A 26,715-nucleotide genomic window follows, 5' to 3' on the forward strand; every position below is an offset into this window, starting at 1 on the left:
CTGTTAAATTAAGTCTCAGTGGCCTTTCAGTTAGATTTTTCTTTTTATGTACATGGATCTCTCTGATATAATTGTTAATCAGGCATAACAAATCTGGGTGTATTGTCACTTACCTATTTTAATTTGGAGATAAAGTTATACTTTTGAAAGCATAAACATCTAATGAAACTGAGAATTAATTTCCTAGTATTTAAGATATTTTCCAAAAAGTTTTATTATTAGAATTAAAAAAATGTTCTGCATATAATTCAAAACACTCTGTAATAACTCTCTCATCTCTAAAATCCTTGTCTCCATAAAACATAAATTACTGGTTCTCATTTCAATTATTTAATGAGTTAAAAACTAACCAGCTACACAAAATATGTTATGTTTTAATTTTGCGCTATTCTGCAAGGCAAATAATTTTAACATGTCTACCTTTTTTAATATAACTATTCCTTCTTGAGTTTCATGATTAGTAATAATGTCAAATGTTTGCGAATCATCCTCTTCAATGCTGTAATCCATTTCTGCATTCTCTCCTATGTCATTATCATATGCCATGATTGTTCCTATAGAAGTCCCAGTGGGTGCAGATTCAGAGACAGTCAAGCGGTATAAACCTTTAAAAACAAAATTGGAGGTATTTTGGATAAATACTTAATATAGACAACTTGCAATTATAGTTTTTTGTTTGTTTGTTTGTTTGTTTTTTCGAGACGGAGTCTCATTCTGTCGCCCAGGCTGGAGTGCAGTGGTGTGATCTCGGTTCACTGCAATCTCTGCCTCCTGGGTTCATGCCATTCTCCTGCCTCAGCCTACTGAGTAGCTGGGTCTACAAGCGCCCACCACCACGCCCGGCTAATTTTTTGTATTTTTAGTAGAGATAGGGTTTCACCGTTTTAGCTAGGATGGTCTCGATCTCCTGACCTCATGATCCACCTGCCTCGGCCTCCCAAAGTGCTGGGATTTCAGATGTGAGCCACCGTGCCGGGTCGCAATTGTAGCATTCTTTATTTTTGATCTGTAGGGAATCCCGTATCTACCTTTCCCAGTTACTTGTTCTTAATCTTTCTTTATTTGTTCTCTTTTTTCTTTCTCTTTTTCCTTTCTTTCTTTCCTTCCTTCCTTCCTTCTTTCCTTCCTTCCTCTCTCTGCCCCCATATATAGTCTCTTTCCCTTTCTTTTTGAAATATAAATATTTTCTAATCTCCTATTTGAGCATCTATCATCATCTCTCAAATATATCTTAGGAAAGTCTATCACCAATATTATCTCTATTTACATGCATGTCTCCTCAATATTCATGTTTTATTTTTTATTGTAACCTTCAACCATACTAAATTAAATTTGACAGAAATAACTTTCAATTTTACTCTAACATTCCTGATACCTGAAGTTACTGAATAAATATACATGTGGAATAAAGGTGGGAGAGTCTGCATGCAAATAGTAGAGTTCCAAGAACGATAGTTTGATTTTGAGGGTCTGAGCCTGCATTACATCAGCCATCCTGGAAATGCAAGGAAATATAGATCGAAAGGAGTTGGTAAGTGAATGTAATATAAAAAACATTTTGTAGTCAAAGATGACCTAATTGATTTGGTCCTAAGAAATAATTGCAGATGTATTTAAAATACATAAATATAACTACAAATTGCTGGGCACTTTTTTTTTTATTTTTCAGGAGTAACTTGTGTAAAACTGATATAGAACTATACTATTTTTAAATTATTATTTGCAATTGCATTTTCATCCATGTTAATATATGACATTACTCATGTCAAGCGGCATCAGCAAACATGCAATATTTTAAAGAATGGAACTCCTTAGAATTCTAAAAAGAAGCACATATAATAAAATTCTTCTTTAAAGGGATTCCTAGTTCCTTTAGAAGCATGGAGGAGGCAGTCACTTCAAAGATTGCATTTGAGACCTTACTTTTTAAGTGGAATAAGTGTTAATTTTTAAGAGCTAATATTTTACTACATTTTTAGAGCAGAAGTTGAAGACTGACTATATAGTAGTGCTTTTTACATTATAGAAAAATTAAAAGAATTGTTTATGTTATTGGAAGATTAAAAATCACTGACATTAATCTGTAGAAAACAATTACATTGCCATGAACGTGAAAGCAGATGTTTAAGACTTAAATGTTATTGAGTTGATATTAAACTATTGGTCTTCAAAATGAAAAAGAACTGAAATATTTTCTTCAGTCAATATTTTGTCTACATAATTTTCCATACTTTCAAAAATTATTTTATTGAACATAATTTTTACAAGGTCCTGTCCTAGAGGCTGGAGATAGAACAGGTGACAATATACATAAAAGCTGCCACCATCAGCTCATATTCTTGATGATAAAACAGACAGTAAATAAGATACTGGTATATAAGAAGGTAGTATTCTGGTGGAATGGCTTAAAATTAAAGATAAGGTGTAAAGTATTCACTGTAGATGTGACTTTTGGATAAGAATTGAAGAAAGAAAATGAGTATCTGGGGAAATATAATTTCAAGAAGAGGAAAAGCCAGCGAGCCTGGAGTGTTCTGGGAAAAGAGAGGATAATTGCCTGGTGTTGGTTTCTTAGTAAGCAAACAGGCAGATAGAAACACTAAGATTTCAAGAGGTAATGAGACAGGACTGGACAATGGCAGATTACTTCAGACCATTAGGACTATTTAGGTGATACTAAACCTAAGGATTTTGACGTCTGTGAGGGAGATGGGAAGACCTTCAAGTGATATGATCAGACGTGCATTTTAACAAGATTATAAAGCTGTGTTGAAAATAAACTAAAGGAGAACAATGGTGTAAGCAAAGAGACTAGATGAGAGCCTATTGCACTAATAGAGACGAAATAAGATGGTGCCATGTGCCAAAGTGCTAGGGATGGAGTTGGTGAGAAGTGTTCATATTTCGGATATTTTCTAAGGCAGAGACAACAGCATCTGCAGGGAATTAAATTTTAACTCTGAGAAAAAGAAAAGTAGAAAAAGTAGCTTCAAATCTTTATGCAAGGAAGGAAGAGGGTATGCGTGTGTGTGTATGTGTGTGTGCGTATGTATATGTGTGTGTTTTGTGTATGTGCATTTGCTCCAAGAATATTGAAAGCCAGGAGCTATCAGAATTGTGGAGGCTATCAATTCAGGCTGGGGGAAAAATTATGGTTGACCTGGGTATGGCTACCATAATCTGAGTGGGATCACTAATTCTTCTAATTCTTCAAACAGTGGTGTTTATATCGAATAAGCAAGGTTTTGGCTTGAAGAACATGAAACCTGGATGTGTGGGTACATGAGATGGGAAAATCTGTTGGAAAAAGAGGTTCAGAGGAGGGGCAGCTGGAATCAGGAGTTCAGTTAAGTGTGTGTTAGGTTTTTTTTTTTTTTTTTTTTTTTTGAGACGGAGTCTCGCTCTGTCGCCCAGGCTGGAGTGCAGTGGCGGGATCTCGGCTCACTGCAAGCTCCGCCTCCCGGGTTCACGCCATTCTCCTGCCTCAGCCTCCCAAGTAGCTGGGACTACAGGCGCCCGCCACTACGCCCGGCTAATTTTTTGTATTTTTAGTAGAGACGGGGTTTCACCGTTTTAGCCGGGATGGTCTCGATCTCCTGACCTCGTGATCCGCCCGCCTCGGCCTCCCAAAGTGCTGGGATTACAGGCGTGAGCCACCGCGCCCGGCCTAGGTTTTAAATGTGTAATATATATGTGTATTATATATGTAATATATGTGCATTATATACTATATATGTGTATTATATATATTATATATGATATATATTGAATGTATATTATATATAAATATATTATATATTTGTTATATATTATATAAAATATTATATATTATATATAATATGCATTTATATGTAATACACATATATAATATATACAATGCACATTTAAAACCTAATATACACTTAACTGAGCTCCTGATTCCAGCTGCCCCCTCCTCTGAACCCCTTTATATATATATATATATTTTTTTAAAAATATATAATATATGAAGTTGATGAGTAGACAGATTTACTTTTGCGAAGCTCAAGGGAGAAGTTCAGTCTGGAGATGTATATTTAATATGAGGTTCTCAGCCCAGAGGTGGTTATGTAAAGCCACGTGTCTGGATAAGATCATAAAGGAATGAGTATAAAAGGGAAGAAAGACGAGATCAAAGGCCTGACTCACAAATGTTCCGAAGTTTAAAGTATACAAAGAAAAGGCAAGGAAGGAAAAAACAGAGACTAGTAAGACAGAAGAAAAAGCTAATGAGAATGGAGCATTAAGGTTTTCAAGGAGAAGTTGATCAATTACATAAAATTCTTCCAAGAAATCAAGTGTTATCAGAACTGAGAATTGACACTGCATTCCACTTAGGTTATTGATAGAAATGATCAGATCAGTTTGGTCAAGTAGTGTGGATGTAACTCAAACGGAGTAAGTTCTGAGATTTTGAGGTCGTTAATTGGAAACAATAAGTATGAACAATATTTTAAATAAATCTTCTCTAAAGAGAAAGGAAGAATACAAAGCATCTTTAGCTAAGTATGGAAGTGAAGGCAAGAAAGTGTTTTTGTTTTGTCTTGTTTTAGGATGTGAGAAAAAACAATAATAAACATGTTTCGATGTGATAGATATGAACCAGCAGAGGACGCTGTTCACACAAGGGAGAGGGATGTTTGAGAGATGCCTTTAATTGGGAGGGTAGGAAGTGTTGCCCACAACAGAGGGTATAGGTATTGAGTATTTACATTGAGAGGAGGGTAATGGGATTCCCACAAGGGAAAACCATGTGGACAAGAGTAAGGAGGCCAGAATCAGATTCACCCACACTCGTATATGAGTGAAAGTATTAAGAGGAATACCATCATCTCATATTCAGACTTGAGTAATAAAGATAATTTTAAAAGATATTTTAAATATTCTAATTTATTCAAAATATTTTAATATTAAAGTCAGGAAAAATCAGAGGGAAACTGAGAAAGGTAGTAGAAGCTTCAGGATATTTTATCGCAGCAAGTTCCTTGGGAATTTTCCTGTCTTCCAGAGTCTTCTACTTGCTATTTAATAATCATCTGCATAAATTTAGACCAAATTTATTTAATAAATCCAGACACTATTTCCCACATATTATATGCCAATTATTTTATAAAGTTCTGGGTATTTCATATTTAACTTGGTGTTCTCCTCTTGCCTTCAGAGGCCATATTAATGTTGTGGACAGAAGACAACATATGTATCATATACATCATATGTGACACTACACAGAGAGAGACGAAGGTGCAGACTCTGACCCCTTTGCCTATAGTCCATCCACAGAGGAACTGTTTTCTCAACCCATATAACAGTGGTAATTTTTTAATATGACAAAATTTAAAATTGTGAGATAGAGCAGAAATTAAAAAATGAGATTTGTGATATTTATTGAAAAATCAAAAGATCTGATAACCTTGCATATGTTGGCTACACTGAGTAGTTGTCTGTATCATTTAGGTGTGGGCATTTGTGTGTGCGCACACACATTAACAGATATTCTCAAGTCTGTACAACTAATGAATGGAAAATTCAGGGTTTAAAAGCAAATTTGTATGATGCCAACTTCCTGTGCTTATTCATGGACTCAACTACTGGAAGGAAGTCAGTGAAAGTAGCATTTCACTTGGGCCATTAAAAATGACATGATTTCACTTGACTTTGAGGAATGGGGCAAGGAACAGAAAAGGATGAGGAAAAAAAAGTAATCAAAAGATAGTTTTGTTTCTGTCTATAAACAATCAATAACTAAGAAATCATGCTATGGTATATATTTTTATTGGCTCTTTTCTTTGTTCCATGCTAATTAAATTTTCTTCCTAGCATGATAATTACTTATGCTTTCTGGAAGTGCTTATAAATGTATTCCTGTAGCTAAAACAGTATAACCTGAAAAATAAATTTCCTAGAAAAGAAATTCCTCCAATAATTGCATAAGAAAATTTTACGAAGCATACCATGTGTTTATGTTTAGCTTGCAGTAATTGCTTAAATTATTAGAGCAGGTGTGGCCTATTCTGGCTTATAAAGTAAAAAGAAATACAAAAAGTCATTTTTAAATGATTATCTATGGTTTGCAGAAGAAGGACCCCACAAAGATATCTGTGTCCAAATTCCCCTGAACGCATAAATATGTCACCGAAAGTGGCAAAAGAGAATTAAGTTTGCAGATGGAATTCAGGTTGCTAATTAGCTGACCTTGAGATGGGAACATTATCCTGCTTTATCCAACTGGGTTCGGTCTAATTACATGAGTGCTTAAAAGTGGAAGAGGCAAATGTGTGGGTTAGAGGGTTGTCAGTGTGTGAAGTATGTGACACTCCTTGCTGCTTCTGGGATGTGTGGGCTAAATCAAGAGCCATAAAGAGGCCTTCAGGAATTAAGGATGTCTCCCAGCTTACAGCCATCAATAAAACAGAGACCTTAACTCTATATACATGTAAACTGAATTCTGCTAACCCTTAAATGAACTAGGATCCTACAGCAAGAAATGCCTCCCTGAATCCTTTGATCATAACCCAATGAGACCCATAATACATTTGTTTTAAGCCATGAAGTTAGTGGCAATTTATTACAGCAAGAATAGAAACTAACACATTATTCTTTCATTTGTATTTAACATTTAACATGAATTAAAATAATCATACCAGAACAATTGACAAATTTATTTTATATAATTTTAGTGTTAATGTAGTGCTTTTAGAATGAAAACTATATAATCTACTTATATTTAACACACTCATATTTATAATGTAATGAAGATGTAGAATCCTTTTTACTTACTTTCTTTAAATATAGGCTTATTGTCATTAACATCTGAAAGTTTAATTAATACACTTGTTGTTCCAGACAACGCTCCTGGCTGACCAATCATGTCCTTGGCTTGAATGATTACCCAATACTCATCTTGCAGTTCTCTATCCATTTTAGAAGATATTCTTATGACTCCTTTAAAAATATAATAAAATTCCAATTATTTCATTATTAATCATGACAAAGTTCTAGTTAATTTCTTAACCATTGCAGTATACATTATTTTGCTATATGTTGAACCACTGCAATGTGACAGAGACTTCACTAGAGAAAAATAATAAAAAATAAATTAAACATCAACACTGCCTAGAGTCTAGAGTGATCATCACAATATTAGGAACACTGGTAGGCCCTTAATAAAATACTATGTTAAGATAATCCACAGGTAGAAAAAAAAGAATGTCTTGTTTTTACTTTAACCTATTTTCTGCTATCTCTTCTAACATAATATCGGCTTGCTACAGTTAACTTTGTCCCCGAAACTCTGAAGTTAGTATATTATTGATAGATTTGTAAATTATAATACCAAATTTATGAAATAAATGTCATGCCCTTATTATTTTGAAGTCTACTTAGAATTATGAGATCTGAAGAAGACCTGGTTGTTGACCCAGTTATTTTATGTGTGTGTGTATACACATATATAATATATTCAAACTCAAGATAATTAATGATAAATATTGCAATAAATGCTTAAATTCTATAAAATTATTTAATATACATTTATTAACTATCACTGAAAAGAACCTAAGAAAATCTTAAGACAGGTTCATAAGAGAGGACTCAACATTTCTAAAGATTTGGGGAACACATAAACAGTCACAAAAAATAAATAATACCCAATACCCAAATATATCAAGGGCAAAATATTCATTAAAAATTGTGATATTAATGAACATAAAGATGGAAACAATAGACACTCAGGACTACTAGAGAGGGGAAGGAGGGAGTGGGGGAGATAGTTGAAAAACTTCTGATTGGGTAGCATGCTCACTACCTGTGTGTGACGGGATCATTAGTACCCCAAACCTCAGCATCACAGAATTTACCCATGTAATAAACTTGCACATTTACGCCCTGAACCTAAAATAAAAGTAAATTAAAGAATACAATAAACTTGTGAAAAAAATGACATATGAGTATAAAATGCACACCTGATTTCAAAGACTGAGAACAAAAAATGTGAACTATCTCCATAGTTTTGTATTATTTGTTGAAATGGTAGTATTTTTGATTTATTGGACTAAATTTAATATAATATAATTTTTTAAAGAATTGTTATATGAACTTTTAAAAGATAAATTAGACCATAACATGAGGGGATTTTAGTTGCGGACTAAAGTGTTTCACACATGTAATCAATTATTTGAATCCAATGGAAAGCATTCAATATGTTGCACAAGTGCTGCTAGCGTCTCCCTGTATGTGACTCAGGGGAGAGGGACCTAGGAGTCTTTGTTCCCCATTAACTGTGCCTACTTTGCTTTCAACTTTTCCTCTCAGCCTTTTGACTGAATAAAGGATATGTATTTCTGGATCTTATGCACTTCAGAACTTATGCTTTCAGTAATTTAATCCATGTTTGTCGTTGTCCATACCAACGCTTCTCCAGCAATGCAAGTAATAGTTTAGCTAACCTGCTCAGTATAGTTAAAAAGTCAGTGTGCAGGGTAGGGGCTGGGGGTGGAAAGAAAACATGGTCACGAAGGCCTGGTATGACCCAGCATGGGTTTGTACTCTAGACACCTCCCTTTCTTCTCTCTTCTGCATTTCTCCACACTGGTGTTCAGTTATTCTAAGAGTTTCAACTCTTTCCCACCTCAGGAATTTCCCTAATTTTTCCCATGCCCTGAAATCATCTTCCACTCTCCCTTCCTTGTCTACAGACTCAGCTAAACTTTCTGATTTCCGTGTATTCTGCCTTGACCACACAACATAAAGTCAACCTGACTTGTTTTCTCCCACTGAAACTTTTTGGTTTTACTTCATAAGTACCTACAGTGGAATGTATGTGTGTATTACTATTCATGTTTAATATCTATCTGTAAGTTCCAAGAAAGAAGAGTCCATTATTATATCTTGTTTTTGTTACTATTATGTATTGTTTTAAATTTTGCAATTTGTACCTTTATAAATCTAGCAAGTTGTATAACATTTGGTACATATTCAGCCTTTCTAGACCTGAATGTGTGAGGGAATTAAAGTCTAATGTTTTGAGGCATTCATTGCATATAATAAAATAATTTTTCTTCCATACATTTGAAAAAATAAAGGCCATGTACATTCCTGAGAGAATTAAGAACATAGGTACTCAAATAATATTTTTTAGAATCTGACTCTCTCAAGAAACCCTAATTGAAAAAGGCTGAGACATTCAATATTTGCTGAATGAATAAATAAGAAATGTTTAAAGATCCAACACAATACTTTAATTCTTTAAGGGTTTTGATATAAGCTGGAAATAGTATTTTCCTTGTATTAAAAACCATAGAATTTTACTTCTTTGGCACTTCTCACGTTCTTGGGTGATTAGTTATATATATATATTTTTTCAGTGGAGACTATAATCTTCTAAAGGAAAAAAAATTACATGGGCCTAATCTTTGTTTAAAACACAAAAATTAATTTTTGTTTAATGAATTAGGGTCATATGATTGTTTAAAGAAAAGAGAAAACTGTGTTCTACTTATTTTATATTCAATTGATTAATGCAGATTGGTAGAGCAATATTACAAAAAGAATCAAATATTGTATTCATGTAAATCAGAAATCTGTAAAATACAGAATTATTTTTAGGTGAATGTCTCATATCAATGTGTACGCTTAGCCTTATACTCAGACTTAATCTCAGTCATTCTGCAGGGTTATGCAGCTGTATTTCATTGTGGTTTTAGTTTGTATTCCCTGATGACTAATGAGGCTGAGCATTTTTAATATGCTTACTGGCTTTCTGTATATTGTTCTTTGTCAATTGCTTATAAATGTTTTTTCCCTATATTTTTAAATTGGGTTGCTGGTCTCTTTTTCTAATTCATTTAAAAGAATCTTTACATATGATTTAAACCACATACATAAGTAATTTGTGCTATGGACATGAAAAATCCAGTCTCCTAGAAGTATCAGCTAAAAGACTAAAAGTAATTAAATGCTTAGGAATTGCAATCTTTTTGCTTATTGACATATCAGGACTACTGTAAAACATGTTTCTAAGCAGATAATTTTTGCTGACAATTGCCTTCTTTAGAATCATGTTAAACTTTGCTTGTTTCATTCACAAATACCTGTTGTTGGTTCAACAGAAAAATATGGCTGGCCTTGAAGTAAGCTGTAGAGGAGACGAGCATTATTACCACTTGAGGGATCGTCAGCATCACTTGCTGTCACCTGGATAACTAATGTTCCTAAAGAGAACATAATACAGGAAATTAAGATTGTGGTTTTATTCAGGATGAATTCAGTTCTGTGAAGCGGTCTTTCTTTACCAAGCAAGATGTTGTTACAAAATGAAAGCTCAATTCACCTCCTTGTTCTTAATTGTAAAAGTAATGTATTTTTTTGTTGTTTTTTATTTTTTTCAGGCAAAAGAATATAACTTTTAATACAAAATATTCCTAATTCCTGTATGCAATATGGAATTTTAAACATGTAGATTGATGGCCTAATAAGATGTAGCTATTAAACAATTCATTGTAATGTATAATTTATAAATCATAAACTTTTCCAAGGTGTATTATTAGTGGAGAAATTAAAAGGAACTTGGAAATGCTTTTCACCAAAAATTATAGTGTAGCCTGTACCTTAAACAAAGTGGAGAAGGTTGATAAATATTTACAAAGATTATTGAATTGAGCTTGAAAGAGTATCCAGTTGAGGATAAGGATGGGCATAATTATTCAGCTCCTTTAATTCTCTTCTCTAATATACCTACTTCCTTTGATGAATTTTTTAAAAAGCAAAGTAAAATCTTGCAGATATTGATAACATAAGCATTCTCATTAAAATTCAGTAACAAGAAATAAAATCATATGGAATAATTATGTATACATTTAAAATTAGTGCTCAGATTTTTAAAATATTTATTCAAAAATATTGAGTTTTCAAAGTATCTTTCTGTAAACATGGAATTGAATGTTATGGATCTTATTTGAAATATGTATTTGTTGAAACACTGTTTACTGTGTCAATAAGAATAGCAACACGAATGACACAAAATCAAATAGCTTCTGTGGTTTTGTTTACAACTAGCATCATGAATTTTCTCATCGTAGCCCAATTTTATAAACTGATACACTCTAATAGGAATCCATTCTATACTTCACTAACATGAAACTTTTGCTGTGGCCCTAAATAGTACATATTCTTTGCTCTTTTGTCTTAATATTTTTATAATGCTATTTAACATTTGTTTTAATATCATACAGCATATTCTATTGAAGTAGAATTTCTTCTTATTCACATAATTTTATGGGTAATACTTTTACCTGATTCAAAATGAATCAGGAAAACTTTTTGCCTCTCTTTTCCAAAACTTATTGAATAACCACTCAATGTGTAGACACTTACTAGTTTCAGATGTTTTAAAGTGAATTTATTTAGTAATTTGTGAAAGTTTTTCCAACAAAATAGTTAACAGGGACCATCACTTTCATTGATCCATATTGCGCAAGACTTGTTCCTTTAACTATCCTTCTATGCACCGATCCACTTACTTATCCCACATTTCCTCATTATAATTCTCTATCATTTCTTTCCATAAGGGGTTCCCATCCCTGGTTTCTAGAATTATATTTCCTATCTTTGGCTTCAGATACAATCATCAAAATCATACCATTTTCAGAGTTGACTGAAATAAATTTTAGTAATATCAGTCTTTAGAGCCCCTAAGCTAGTACTATACAAATGAGAACCAAGAAGTCCAGAAAATGCAATGACTCACAAAAGGTGACCTCACACTTTGATGATAGAAATATGTCATACAGTTAGGTTCTTTTTTCCAGTCCAGTTTTTTTAGCATGCTTTTTCTATAAAATAAATTTTATTATATATATTTAAGGTATGCAACATGTTATGCATATAGATAGTAACATGATTACTATAGTAAAGCAAATTATATCTATCATCTCACAAAGTTACCCATTTTTGTGTGTGCATGGAAAGAGCAAGTAAAATCTACTCACTCATCACAAATCTCAAATATAATACAATATTATTAACTATAGTCCTCATGTTGTACATTAGATCTCTAGATTTGTTTATCTTACTTATCTGATACTTTGTATTCTTTGACTTACATACCTCCATTTCCTCCCTCTTCATATCCCCGACACATTATTTTATTCTCTATCTTTCTATATTGAACTTTTTTTAGATTCCACATATAAATAAGATCATGCAATATTTTTATTCTGTGTCTGGCTTATTTCACTTAGCATAATGTCCCCCAGGCTCATCCATGTTGTGGCAAATGGTAAGATTTTCTTCTTTGATGAGACTTAATAATATTCCACTGTAAATATATGACACAGTTTCTTTCTTTATTCCTCTATCTGATAAGGGATTTATTTAAGAGAACTCATACAACTCAATAGCAAAAAGCCAAATAATCAGATTAAATAATTGGCAAAGAACCTGAATAGATATTTCTCCAACGAAGACACACACAAATAAATGGCCAATGGTTATATGAATGGGTTCTCAACATCACTAATCATCATGAAAATGCAAATAAAAACTACTATGAAATATCACTTCACACTTGTTAGGATGTCTATTATTAAAAAGACAAGAGAAGGCAAGTGTTGGTGAGAGTATAGAGAAAAGGGAACACGTGCACTGTAGGTGGGAATGTAGATTCATGTAGCCATTATGGAAAACAATATGGAGGTTCCTAAAGAAATTAACTATAAAACTACTATATGACCCAGCAATCCCACTACTGGGTATTTATTTAAAGAAAATGAAATACACCACTAGTAAAGATATCTGCATTCCCATGTTCACTGCAGACTTATTCACAATAGCAAAGACATGGAAACAACTCTCATTTCTCTTGATTTCCCTTTGTATCTGATACCAGTGTGTACTCCTTACACACACCTGGATTATTGTGCCTGCTCAGTAACCTACTGTACACCTGTTCTCTCAGGTCTCCTCTTGATCACACCCATAGAAAGCAAAGAGGTAGTGACATGCCAGAGCAGGTGAACATTTTTTACTGATGCTTCATTTACTTGTAACCAAAAGTTACTTCTTCAGTGTTTTTCTCCTGTTGTCTACTAAGTGGAGAATCTAATGTATTCTGTTAATAGATTACACAAAATAATTTCCCTGAGTGTGTAGAAAATCTAAAAGGTCAAATTCTTAGAAATTTTAGTGGAAAAAATCTGTGATATTATAAATATTCAGAATACCACTCACACATGAATTTGATGGGGATTTTAATTTCTGGGGAAATATTTGTTATTCTTTCTTATGACACTTGTGGCATTTTAAAAGAACCAAGGCTATAGAATTGGTGTAATTCAACAATGTTTTAGAAATGCTTACTTTTTGGTAAGGACTATCAATGAGTATTAAGTGATTCACTCCTTACATTTTTTGTGTGTGAGAAGATGTTTATGTGTATATATAGGCATATATGTATACAGGTAGATCTAAGTATGGTGTATTTACATATGTGTATATATACATGTATATATACACACATATATTTTCAGTAAATGTGTGTTTTACATTTACTGAAAAGGTTCCCTGATGTTCAGCTCTGCCACCTTCTCATGAAGGGGTTCCCTATATTTGTATAATCTTATCTCTGATTCTCTAGTTGGCTCCACTAGCTATTCATTGCTCCAGGGCAAATATTCTTGTCTGAACTACTGTAGTTTTGTCCTAGGCGTTTGCTCCTTATTAGTGCAACTCCTGTAGGTATTTTTCTTCAATAAAATTGCCTTGCAGAGGTTGCAGTGTTCAGACATAGCGCCATTGCACTCCAGCCTGGGCGACAGACATGTATCTGTATCTAATCATATATCTTTATCTCATATATATATATATATAATATATATATTTAAGAGGGCAAAAATATGCAGCAGTATTTCCAAATATTTAGTGCTTGTAGTTTTTCTCTTAATTTTTATTCATGCCTTGGAAATGTTGGCTGTAAAATTTAGATGAATCTTAGCAATGCTCGATTTTTACAGGACCCTAATTATCTTTGTTTATTTTATTTAGTTGTTTTCTACTTTCTTTTCCCTCTTTCAGTTATTATTGACACCATGATTTATAAAACACAGTTTAAGCAATTTTAAATCCTCTTGGATTGTTTCTATGTTTTTAAAGAGAATTAAGCCTGTATGTTTTCCTAATGAGTAACTTGTATTCGGCAGAAATCCTCAAGAAATAGTCAAGTAACATAAAGAGATCACAATAATAATTAAATATAAAAGCAGACAGCAATACAAAAATATTTAACACAATTGTAAATATTTATATTTTTATAAAGACTTGTTATTTGTAAGCAAATCAATTTGTACATTCACCTGTAGTTAGGAATTAGTTTTATCGTCCACATAAAATTGAAAATATTACTATGAAACCAATAAAGTGTCTTTCAGTGGAAATGATCAATTGTCTTATAGTGCCCCTTTCCTAGTTAAATATAGGTTAACTAACACTTGTTGGTTTAGACAACGAATGTTTAATTCCTACATAATTTTTTATAAGAACATATGTAAGTATTTCAGCATTTGTCTGTAATATCAGAACTGTGTCATGTTTGAGTCATAGTGAATACCACCACAATGCTCTTTTCAAGTACTGGAGGATTTCTAGGCTTATGTAATTACTTCCGTTCATGTCCTGATTATTGTTTACTGTCAGAATCACTCCGAAGAGGTTTATGAGAAATGCGGCTCCCATCCCCGGTCATCCCATTTCCTAAAAACAACCCACTCATCACTATGAATTGCTGTTGTGTTCTAAAATATTATGGCTACTATTCTACATAAGGACCATTGTTTACACAGGCCATATCTGTAACCTCTTGAAACTTTTAAAATTGTATTTCCATGGAAAATATATTTCAATTTTTTTATATAAAGGAGAAAAATAAAAAAAACAAAGTACATCTAAAAATCAACTTACATTTGCAATAAAAACTTTTTAAAAATTAAGAATAAAAGGAAACTTTCTGAATCTGATAATGAATGCTTTTAAGCCTTGACAGTAATTATATTTAATTGTGAAGAGTTAAAACTTTTCCTCTGCAATAATAAAAAGAAAAAAATGTTTTTCTGTCACTATTATTTTTTTCGGCATTGTACTGAACTTCCTAGACAATGCAATGAGGCAATACCATGCAGTTATAACGCATTTATAGACAGGTAGATAAATAAATATTGGAAAAGAATAAATAAAACTAAATAATTAAAGTTAATAATATTTTCTGCTAGAAACTCAAAATATGCATATAGTTACAGAAAAACATTAAATTCATAAATTTAGCAAGTCAACAGGGACACAAATGTTATATAAAAGTGCATTTTTTAATATATGAATATATATATGTATATACTCTGGCATATATATATTCATGAAACCTATTTTAGTTAAATATATAATATATATGAAAAGAAATAAAATATTCAGGAATATCTAAACAAAAACTGTAACCTCTGCAAAACAACTAAAGATAAATTAATGATATAAGTAAATAGATGAAAATACTGGATTTAGGAATTAGATGACTACTTAAAAATAAAAAAATACACAGCTTAAAAGCTAGCTCAATCAAAATCCTAGTGGACTGTATAAATGGTTAACTTGGAAAGACAATTAAAAAATAAGTAAAATTTGTATGGAAAAACAAGGACCAAGTATGGTCCAGGCATTTTTTGTTTGTTTGTTTCTTTTGTTTTGTTTTTGTTTTTTTGAGAGGAAGTCTCACTCTGTCGCCCAGGTTGGAGTGCAATGGCGTGGTCTCTGAACACTGCAACTTCCGCAAGGCAATTTTATTGAAGAAGAATACCTACAGTAGTTGCACTAATAACGAGCAAACGCCTAGGACAAAACTACAGTAGTTCAGACAATAATATTTGCCCTGGAGCAATGAATAGCTGGTAGAGCCAACTAGAGAATCAGAGATAAGATTACACAAATTTAGAGAACCCCTTCACCAGAAGGTGGCAGAGCTGAACATCAGGGAAACTTTTCAGTAAATTCTGCAAGGTCAGCTTGATATCTCCATTTATCTGTCCATCTATCTAACACCAATTTTGTGATATAAAATTTGGCACCTGCTTTACACCTTTCACAAATATCAGCTTAAAACAGACTGTAGATCCAAATGTGAAAGGTAAATAATAAGAAAAATAAGAATATAAATATTAGAACAATAAAACTTTCAGAAAAAAAGAAAAATAGAGGGGGAAAAGCAAAAATTTCAGAATCAGGGCAAATATATGTATATAATATTTATGGAAAACATATATTTAGTCCTGGGGAATTTGATATTTTTCTCAAAGCCCAAATCTCTTTTTCAATTTGTTAAACATATTTTTTATTACTCTTCCCAGCCTGGATTGGTTGTTCTTACTCTACTGAAGAAGGGTAGCATATTTAGGGTGCATTATCTGATAAGAACATGAAGCATGGTACAGGTCATATATACCTAACCTCTTTAGTCTCTCTTCATTCATTTGATGAACATTTTATTATGATAGCATTAATACTTGCAAAGTGGGTCTTACTCCATTGGTGGATCAAAAATTAAATTCTACATTTTATACTGGAAATAGGTATTTCTAACAAAAGACAAATAATATATATGAACATTAATAAAATCTTTTTTAGAGAAGATTTTAACATTAAATATAGCACCAGAAGAATATTCTTCATAAGTATTTACATCATTTAATGAGTTTCTTAGTTTAACTATTTTATCATACAGTGCCTTTGGGTTATCCCTTGTCCTCTTTCAGATTTAACTATATCTTAAGAGAAGTCTATTTATTGCTCATTTGTCTGACAGACTGTTTCTCACACTCCATGGAAGAAGCTACAAGTACAAAGTAAATGTTTGAAAAATTCACTCTGGCTTATTTTAATGACTTAATAATAGTCATTTTGTAAAACAGAAAATCTGGGACAAATGCTTCTAGGACATGATGACAGAAACATAGAAGTAAAGCAGAACTGTCCTGGGTAAAACTGAAGATCTGGTCACTCAATCTACCTTAAAACAACAGTGACAATATAAAGTGGCCACCAGGATAGCACACAAAATGAAAATAACGTAGCACGAGTTGTGTATATTGAATTGCCACAGCCTTAAGTCCTATTATTCCCTGCAATACACCATCCAGTAAGCAGAATTGGGTAACTACCAAATGATGGGAACTCTGAAAAGTTTAAATTAATGAGATCCTTGAAATCAAATTAGCAAGGAATGTAAACAGAGAGTGAAAAAATGCTTTTTGGGGGACCGAAGGGTCCAAAGTTCAGCATGCATACCTGAGTGGGGTCACTGTGGCTGGATCAGAGGTGCCAGTGGTATTTGGAAATGCAAAGAATCAAAATGACTTGTAGTTTGTATCCATTCTAAGTGAACAAAAGTGTGCTTAGAAAAAAAAATTCTCTTAGAATCATACTTTAATTAGAGTAGCTTATCAGTTCACTTATTCTGATAATAAACATACAAATATAATTACTAATGTAATCTTGGGTTCCATTATTGTGTGGACAGTTGACATTGTTTGCATTACTCTGGAGAGACTTTTCATAATTGCAAATTTAAAATATTAATTATGTCTTTCTAGCTAGTTTCCAAATCTTGGCAACTTTTCATAGCAAAAGGTCTTTATAAAAATAAGTTCAACACAATATTTGACTTTGCTTATTTTATCAATCACATTCTTTGCAGAAACTTATTGTAACATAGGTCAGTGGTCCTTAACTTCTTTGGCACCAGGGACCAGTTTCGTGGAAGACAATTTTTCCATGGTCAGGGTGGGGAGTGGGCATGGGGATGGTCTGGGGATGATTAAAGCGCATTACAGTTATTGTGCACTTTATTTCTACTATTACTACATTGTAATATATAATAAAATAACTACACAACTCACCATAATGAGGAATCAGTGGGAGCCCTGAGCTTGGTTTCCTGCAACTAGATAGTCCCACCTGGCAGTGATGGGAGACAGTGACAGATTATTAAGCATTAGATTTTCATAAGGAACATGCAACCTAGATTCCTCACATGTGCAGTTCACAATAGGGTTTGCAATCCTATGAAAATCTAATCCCGCCACTGATCTGACAGGAGGCGGAGCTCAGGTGGTAATGCAAACCATGAGGAGCGGCTGTAAATACAAATGAGGCTTAGCTCTTTTGCCTGCTGCTCACCTCCTGCTGTGCAGCCCGGTTCCTAAGAGGCCACAGACAAGCACCAGTCTGTGGCCTGGTTGTTGGGAACCCCTGACATAGGTGACACAGGATGTACACTTGTACCACGTGCTTGAAAGGAAAACGTTAGTTTGGTCATCTCTGGAAATTGCATTTACTGATATATTTTTCATTTTTATGACAGAAAATTTTAGTGTGATAATAGTATCTTAACAGAAGATAATATATTTGTTGTGTGTGTGAAATGAAGCATTCTTGTAATGTTTAAAGGTGCTAACCTGTATAAAACTACATAGAAATTTTAAAGATTGAGAGCATTAATGAAAGCATCAATAATAATTTATCCAAACATCAGATGTATTCTGCCATCACTGAGTAAAACCTGAGGTAAAGGTAGTGTAACTCTGTCTCTGTTGAGTTATGTAAATTTTATTATTAACCAGGAGTTATGCAGAGGATGAAACTATTCTCATGCAGATGTTTAACATGGCTTACAACTTTATTAAATGATGTTCTTTCCTGTGTCACATAGAATGCTTTATCCACTGGTGATTATGGGAAGCATATAAACAAAAAATCATAAAAAGTGAAAAATTTTCCTATGCAGACTAATTTAGATATTATGTAAGCAATAGAGAAATTAGCAACCTGTGGCGAGGGCATTTTATAATTAAAGCTTACATTTATTATGGAATACTAAAGTACAGGTGCCACAGTATGCTATAGTGTTTGAATGCCAAGATTCCAGCTGTAGATTTCAAAATGACATTTACTTTAGAATGTTATATTTTATTCATTTTGAATTCAATAGTAAGGAGATTAACTGTTCTTTTCTTACAATGTAGATATAAATTTAATGGAAAAGCTATTTTTACATCCAGTTTTAGTACAAGTATACTTTGATTAATCTGAAACAAATTTATTGAGATGTTGGGTTGTATAATTGTCAACTTCAATGTTATACAGATCAAATAATATTATAGTGATCCACACTCTGCATATGTAATTTCTGCAACAATAAAACAGGATTAAGATGAATGAGGTGATCAAATGATCAAATACATGACATAAGAGTTGTATAGGTATATCTGCTCACTCCTTCACATTGGGAACTTATTTTATTAGTACAAGGATAATTATTTTTCTACCAGTACTGACTGACCCATTCTTGCTGCATTTATACTTGAGCTGCAATTACTCTACAACCTAAAGTCTCGAAGTGAAACTCAGGAAACAGATAATATTTTCTCACTTGTCATCTTAACTGGGCAAAGTGTTCTTCAAATTTTTTATTTTTCTGTCCATAGTCACCTAAAAACTAGGTCATTTTTATTATTTTTGTGCTGCATTTTTGACACCTCTACTTTTTATAATCTGAGATAATGGAATTTAAGTAAAACAAATTAGACTGTGTTTAATAAATCAAACAATATTATATTTAGAAGAATAAGAAGAGAAATTCATCCCAGTCTCAGTCATGTTCAACTCATGTTCCCAAAGGCAAGAGATTTATAGAATCTAATTCACAAATGTGATAAATTTTGAAAATTCATGATTTTTTATTTTCCTGAGTATTAACTGAAATTAAATTTGTATAGATTTTCCATACAAAGCTTAAGGTGAATTTAATATTTCTATAAAAGCTCTCCTTTATGACATATTGTACCATATTGTTGATGAAGAATATTAAATTTTCTATATGCTTTTCCAAAAAATGCAACTTAAAATATTGCATAATAATTACAGAGATCATTATAACATATTATATTTGAATTTAAAATCTGAAATGCCAAAATAAGCTTCCTTAAATAGTAAGGTAAACAGAGTCTTACTCACTAGTTATCCCCATTCATTTTCAAAAGCATCTGGTTTTGAAAATAAAAGGAAATGGTTATTGCAAGTGGAAGGAATGTTGGACACTTGATAATATTAAAAATGATGCCCTCAGTGACTACAGATATGAAAAATTTGGTGGAGGATATTTATTTGGAAAAGCTCCAAAGAGAGTGGATAGTCTTTTTACTAGACAATATATTCTCCTTGCTTTTATTAGGCAGAAATATGTGAAACTAAATTTTAAGGAAGTCAGATTTTAAATTTTCCTTTTGCATTTGCACATACACAGACATATAAACAAAGTCTATTAACACTAATGATCATTCATAATGTGTACAATATCAATATCTATTTATTATGGTTGTTTTCCACGTAATGTGACTGGCTAAAGCATGTTTCACTTTTAGCAGGATTTTGTGCTGATTTGCAGAAGATAAGTTACCCGACTCTGCTTTGGTTTAATTGCTTATTAAGTAGTATACTACACGTATTTTAAATGCCCCTTCTTTTTTTTTTTTTTGACATTATAAGGTTTTAGGTAAAACTAGCAAATATTACTGAAATGGAAGATTACATATTTGATAGGCTGGCTATTCAGATACAATTTCAGAATGATTTCCATGAATTTCACATCTCCCGAAATCTTCTATTTATATCCTAAACTATTCTAATCACTTATTTAGCATTTTTTTGTCCACCCATGTACTCACTCATTTATTTATTCAATCCTTCCAAATCTCAGTCACTCTATGACTTGTGGTCTAATAAATCTTATATTTTTGGATGGCAGAAAAATAGTAACTTTGCAAATCCAAAGTGACAATTGGGAAAGCATAATGTTTTATCTCAACTCTACTTGAAAGTTCTAGTTTGAAGTTAATTTCATTTCAAACATAAATGCAGTCAGTAAAAGCCCATCATTACTTGTAAAGAAATGTGTGTTTAATAAGCAACAAGTTAATAATTTTCTTGATTTTATCTCATGACATAATGAAATATGGATTCCCTTCAGTAATTCAAACCAAATTCTGAGTTCAAGTGCAGATTCAAATATAATAATAGGCAGTTCACTTCAATACAACAGAAATATATGTAAGAAAAAGAAACAGCAAAATGTTTGCAATAGTTGTTTTTGAAGAATAAAGTAGCTGGCTAGGAAATTTGGAAGTAAGGTCAATATTCAAAAACTTAAATGGCCGTGGATATAGAAAGATAATGAAGAATTGAAGTTATATTTAGGTAATAAAACCCGCAGTATTCATTAATTTAATACTGAGATTGAGGAAAAAAGATAAATCACATATAATTTTATTAATTGATTTATTTACTTCACAGTCAACACAAATGCAGGAATGCTTCAGAAGGAAACCGTTGCTAGAAGTTTGGCAAAGCAATAGAAATATTCCCCTATTTCCATATTATATAACACTTCTAATAGCAACTGACCATCACTCAGCTGGCCTCTCCCTCTCATGGAAAGGTTACACAAAGTGCTCATTAGTTCTTGCATGATTTCATACAAAGCCTGGACCCTAACTGGCACTCACACAGTATGTATTGATTACACAAATTGAAAAGATAATTTGTACCTCTATCTCAAATTGCAATGCACAAAGAGATTTGTGCTTGCTAGATATTGCACAGACCAAACCATCTTTTGCAATCTCTCTGAACATCTACAGTGGGGCTGCACTGATACCATGATACCAATAATTCTCTCATGGGTTCACTACCCAACTCTGTAAAATGGCAGTATTGTACCTCCTCTTCTCTAAAATTTTACCCATGCTCTCTCAATTACTGCCTTCGCATTATGCTTCACTGACAAAATAGAAACGTTTATTAACTGATTGGTTATGAACAAATATGTTAACATATAATCTGTCCCTTCTATAAGTACAATGGATTCCATGACCCTTTCTTTTTTTTTTTTTTTTTCAAGAACAGTGTTTTAGAAGTTATGTCCTTTTACTTTGCTTCAAATAATATTATTCTCTGGAATCATTCCCCATAGTATATAACAGTGCTGTTCAATTTCCTTTCTTAAAAAACAATTGAATAGTCATAAACAAGCAAAAAGTCCTCTTGACCTTCATCTTTTTCTACCTAGCATCTCACATTTCATTTTCTCCCTGTGGCGTAACACCTTTTAGACTTGGCTTAAATCATTATTACTTCCTCTTATTCTTCCTTTTATGCCATACAATAGTCTTCAGTGTGCTGTAATAGCACAAATTAAACTGTTGTACTTATCAAAAAACCAGGGGTCTTCAACTTACCAAATCAAAAGTCACCACTCTGTCTTAATCTTAGCCTCACAGCAGCATTACACACGGTTGAGGGATTTCTTCTTTTGGAACATCTTTTCTCATATTTTTCCCTTCTTCCTACAACGCTTGCCAATCCCACTCATTCTAATTTGCCAGCCGACTGCTTTTTGCTTAACAGTCAAGTCAGCCTGGATGCTTTTCTCTTCTCCAGCTACGTTCTCTGCCAAAGGGATCTCATTCATTGCCATGCCTGACATACGTGTTATATGTTGATGACTTCCATATTGATGTATACAGCCCTGAGCACTCTGCTATGGATTCTTTTTTCCTAGAATGTGGTATGGATGGCCTCTTTGTATAATTCACCTCAAATATCACCTCCTAAAATGTCCCGTTTCCTCCAGACAATTAATAATCATCATACCTCACCCATACATAACACTTTTATACTATACATGATCATATATTACCTCCTTTAATTAAAATAACTATTTCTTATTTGTATATAACTAAAATGTGTTTCATATTAGCAGGTAACTCCTTTATCTCCTTTACAATTTTATCTATAGTTTCAAAGGAAGATTCCTAGCATGTTACATCATAATATATGCAAGAAGAAGAAGAAGCAGTGGCAGAGGAAGAAAAGCAAGAAGCAGAGGGAGGAAGGAGGAAGAGAGGGAATAAGGAGACAGAGGGGAGGGCAGTAAGGGAAAGGAGTAGAAGGTGGAGAAGGGGGAGGAGGAGAGGGAGGGATGAGGAAGGTGAACTGTTTCTTTGCCTACCTACCAAAATAGAGTAATTTAAAGTGCTATTTACATCTCATAATAATTTGTCTTGATATATATTACACAGGCAAATTTGTTTCTGCTGTATTTAAAGACCTATGTTCCAAACAATGTAGAAATACATCTTTAAATTCCTACCTGGAATGTTAAAAATCAAGAATCAGAAAATTATATGATGAAATATGTATTTTTGGAATCATTGGCTAATGAATCAAGTAATGAGGTAAAGTAGTTATAAGCATGTTACCGTAATTTAAAATGGCCATTATCAAGTCACATTTATTTGTCACTGTTAAGTAAATTTTTGAATTAAACTTTCCAGTATATTGTGCTACAAAAATTTTTTGAGTGAATAACTGAGAGAAGTTGTGCATAATCACAATTTCCCCTTTACTGGAAAGACATTTCTAATTTCCAAGACAGTCAATTCTTATATCTTATGGAAACCATTCTCTCCTAAATGCATTATATTTAAAATATTAACAACAACAACACTGGGTTTTGAAAAGTATCTTTGAATAAACACAGCCACACACAGGTGTTCAACCACTTAGTTTTGTCTTAGTGGTTTTTTCTTCATGATTTTGATGTATACAATAGAGTCTAATAAATTCACTTTTCCTATTTTTATGCATATCTTGCAGGATTATCTTATTTGCTTTTATGAGATACAAAAATATATTTTGTTTTGAAAAAGAAATTCTTGTACTTAAGAACCTAGTAAATGAACAAGGTCTAAAAACTTACGAATTGCTCAAATAAACATATCTAAACTTCTTTTATTCCTGTGAAGGCTGAGATATTTTAATAACATTAATATGTAGTACCCTTTTCTCAAAATTTTGATGCATAGTCTAATTTTTCAAATATTTTACTTAAACATATTTGTAGAAGGAAGTTCTAGTATAGACCCTTAAATCATCTACTTCCAAAACATATCCTTCAAATTTTAAACCTGCTTCATTGTTAATATATCTTTGATGTAAATTAATATGCAATACCTTCTGGAGACATCTCTGGTACAATGGCCTCATAAGGTTCATCTAGGAATTTTGGTTCATTGTCATTGATATCCGAAACTTTGATGACAAACTCAGACTCAGGTTCCACAGCCCTTCCAGTAGCGATGTCTATTACCTGGGCTCTTAAGATGTAGAGGGATCGCTCCTCTCTATCAAGCTTCTGTATGGCATATATGTCACCTGTTCTTTCATCAATGATAAAAGTACTTCCAGCTCCAGCTCCCAAAAGCTTGTACTGGAAAGAATTGTTTCCATTGTCTAAATCAGATCTTAGCTGCAAATGGAAAGAGGGATCATTTAGTTTCCAAACATCTGAAATGGACAAATCAAAATCAAGATTTTCTTTTTATGTATGTTAATTATTCCCCAAGTTAATGATTTTATATTATTTCCACATTACATTAAATGAGGCAAAATATTAATATCAAGATTAAAATCTATCACCAGGGAGAAGGAAGAGTGAATATTTAGTGTAAAGAACTATACACATTTCATTATTCTAAACAGAAACAAAAATAATTGGATAATAAAGCTTCTTTTGTAAGTTATGCACAACATAGTTGGTTCAGTTTTTATTTATAATTAAATTCTCAGTCACTAAAACTATACTCTCAAATATTTATACTAGATTGGGTCCTTGAGATAGATAGAAAGACAATTTAGTGACATTTAAACACTGATGTTCTATCTCTTGCATGAATATACATGGAAACAAGAAAATATTAGGATGAAAATTAGGGTTCATAAAGATAATGATAATCTTGACTGTTCATTAGGTATTTATTACATGTCATAAAATCTATAAATTGCTTTATATTAGTGTTCTCAAGTAATTCTCATATCAATATTATGAAATACATATTATTGATATGATCAATTTTTCTATAGAGAAGAAAAGTGAGATTTTGTTTTACAAACTTTTTTCAGAGTCATATGGTCTTTGTGTAGATATAGAATTTACACCACGAGGCTATCAAATCTTCTATGAGGCTGTCAAATTTCAGACTGTCCACTGACAACAACTCAGTTACATCTTCTTTAGCCCTTGGGTTTTAGCCATAAAGTATAAAACTTTCTTCTCAATATATTCTACCTAATTCTCAAATACACACTTTCAGCCTGTGCACTCATTTTCATATTTTCAAAAAGCAAAGTAAATTAGTTCATCATTCATACTGTTGAGGTATTATTTAGAATTTTTAATTTATCTGTAAAAAAACCCGTCTAATTCTGATATAGTTAAAATGATCACATAGCTTTTCATATCAGAATTATTTGTATGTAAGAGAAGAATGTCATGGTTCCCTAATCATTGTGAATCCACATTTTCTTGATTCACCATTTATGAAAATGCTCTTATTCACAGTAAGAGTTCCTCTGAAAATTTACAAAGATAATCATGAAATCAGTTGTAAACAAATTCATGATTTTTCTGATGGCTTAAGTTATAATTTCTTATACTGGATAAATTAATACACTTTCTTTGCGGTTGTGGAGAAAATCTGAAGGTACTAGTAACTAATTTTGCATTTTAATAACATGCCGAATATCAATGCTATGTAATGAAAAATAACATCCAGATTGTCTTTCTGGTAATACTTCTTTTGATAGTTCTTAATTATTCCTAAAAGAAATTCTTCATGCGATGATGTAAGAAATTGAGGAACAAATTATACAATCAAATCAATATATCAAGTGAGCAATGTATGGTTCATATTTTTAAATTATATCATTTCAATATGATTTGATAATTTATTTGATATTATAATGAAGATAAATTAAGTTTAGTAATAAGTAAATATATTGCAAGTATATGTGCAGTGTAATTTTCAAAGACAAGTAAGCTTGACATTTTTAAGACCCAGATTTAAGGGAAGACAGAAACAAAAACGAAAAAGCTTACTTGAACACCAGCCTTTTAATGTCATAAAATGCATATGTTAAACACATTTCAATCAAATGGCCTGTAGTATTATACAATTTTCTATATTTTTATTCAAAAAATATTTTCCTAATTAGGCTGCTACTATCAATTTGCTAAACAAATATCACTTCAAATTTTCACTTAATTGTACTTCCCAATCTTAATCATTTTTCAAACAAATGGATCAAAGAGAGTTATCTTGAACGCAGCAGCTAAATTGTATATTTACTAACTCTTTTGACAAGCACCTAAACATTCATTATTGTTCTTTTTGAAATCAGTGATTCACTTGTTTTTTAAGCCTGATGAGTTTGTGTAGCAGAAAAACATTTTTCAGAGTAGTTTCATAAATATGTCTCTGAAATGAAAAAATAGGCAAAACCAATCACTGTGAGAAAGGAGGTAAACAGAGATTCATGTGGGGAGTAGAAACAAACAAACTAGAAAATGTGACAGCCCCAGAGGTGGCCTGTGTTCCAATTACACTGATGCACTTCCCTATAACACCTTATTTACTAAAAGCCAATAGCTGATTTTAGCCTGTCACCCCATTCAGTGATGGGAGAGTATATGGTGTTCTGTGCAGTCCACTGTAAAGGTAGCTAGAGACTCAGTTACTGAGTCGGCACCTAACTGTGGACCTTCTTAGTGCC

The 26,715-nt window shown here is 32.4% G+C and overlaps 1 protein-coding gene across 7 annotated transcripts in view; it reads right to left on the reverse strand.

Moving 5' to 3' along the window:
- The window catches only part of CDH19 (cadherin 19), a 103,008-nt gene that overhangs the window by 43,216 nt on the left and 33,077 nt on the right, over nucleotides 1-26,715 (reverse strand). For 6 of the 7 annotated variants that reach the window (NR_073130.2, NM_001271028.2, NM_021153.4 and 3 more), the window contains exons 3-6: nucleotides 24,118-24,412; nucleotides 10,107-10,226; nucleotides 6,796-6,960; nucleotides 421-605 (exon numbers count right to left, since the gene is read on the reverse strand). Coding sequence is in view for 6 of the 7 variants with exons in the window: in NM_001271028.2 (NP_001257957.1) it covers nucleotides 421-605; nucleotides 6,796-6,960; nucleotides 10,107-10,226; nucleotides 24,118-24,412 (765 nt within the window). In the remaining variant the exon portion in view is untranslated. Of the gene's footprint in view, nucleotides 1-420; nucleotides 606-6,795; nucleotides 6,961-10,106; nucleotides 10,227-24,117; nucleotides 24,413-26,715 lie in introns of those variants that run through there. The other variant, XM_011525931.4, reaches the window with a different exon arrangement.

Source organism: Homo sapiens, chromosome 18 (genome assembly GCF_000001405.40).
Source record: "Homo sapiens chromosome 18, GRCh38.p14 Primary Assembly".
Taxonomy (NCBI): Eukaryota; Metazoa; Chordata; class Mammalia; order Primates; family Hominidae; genus Homo; species Homo sapiens.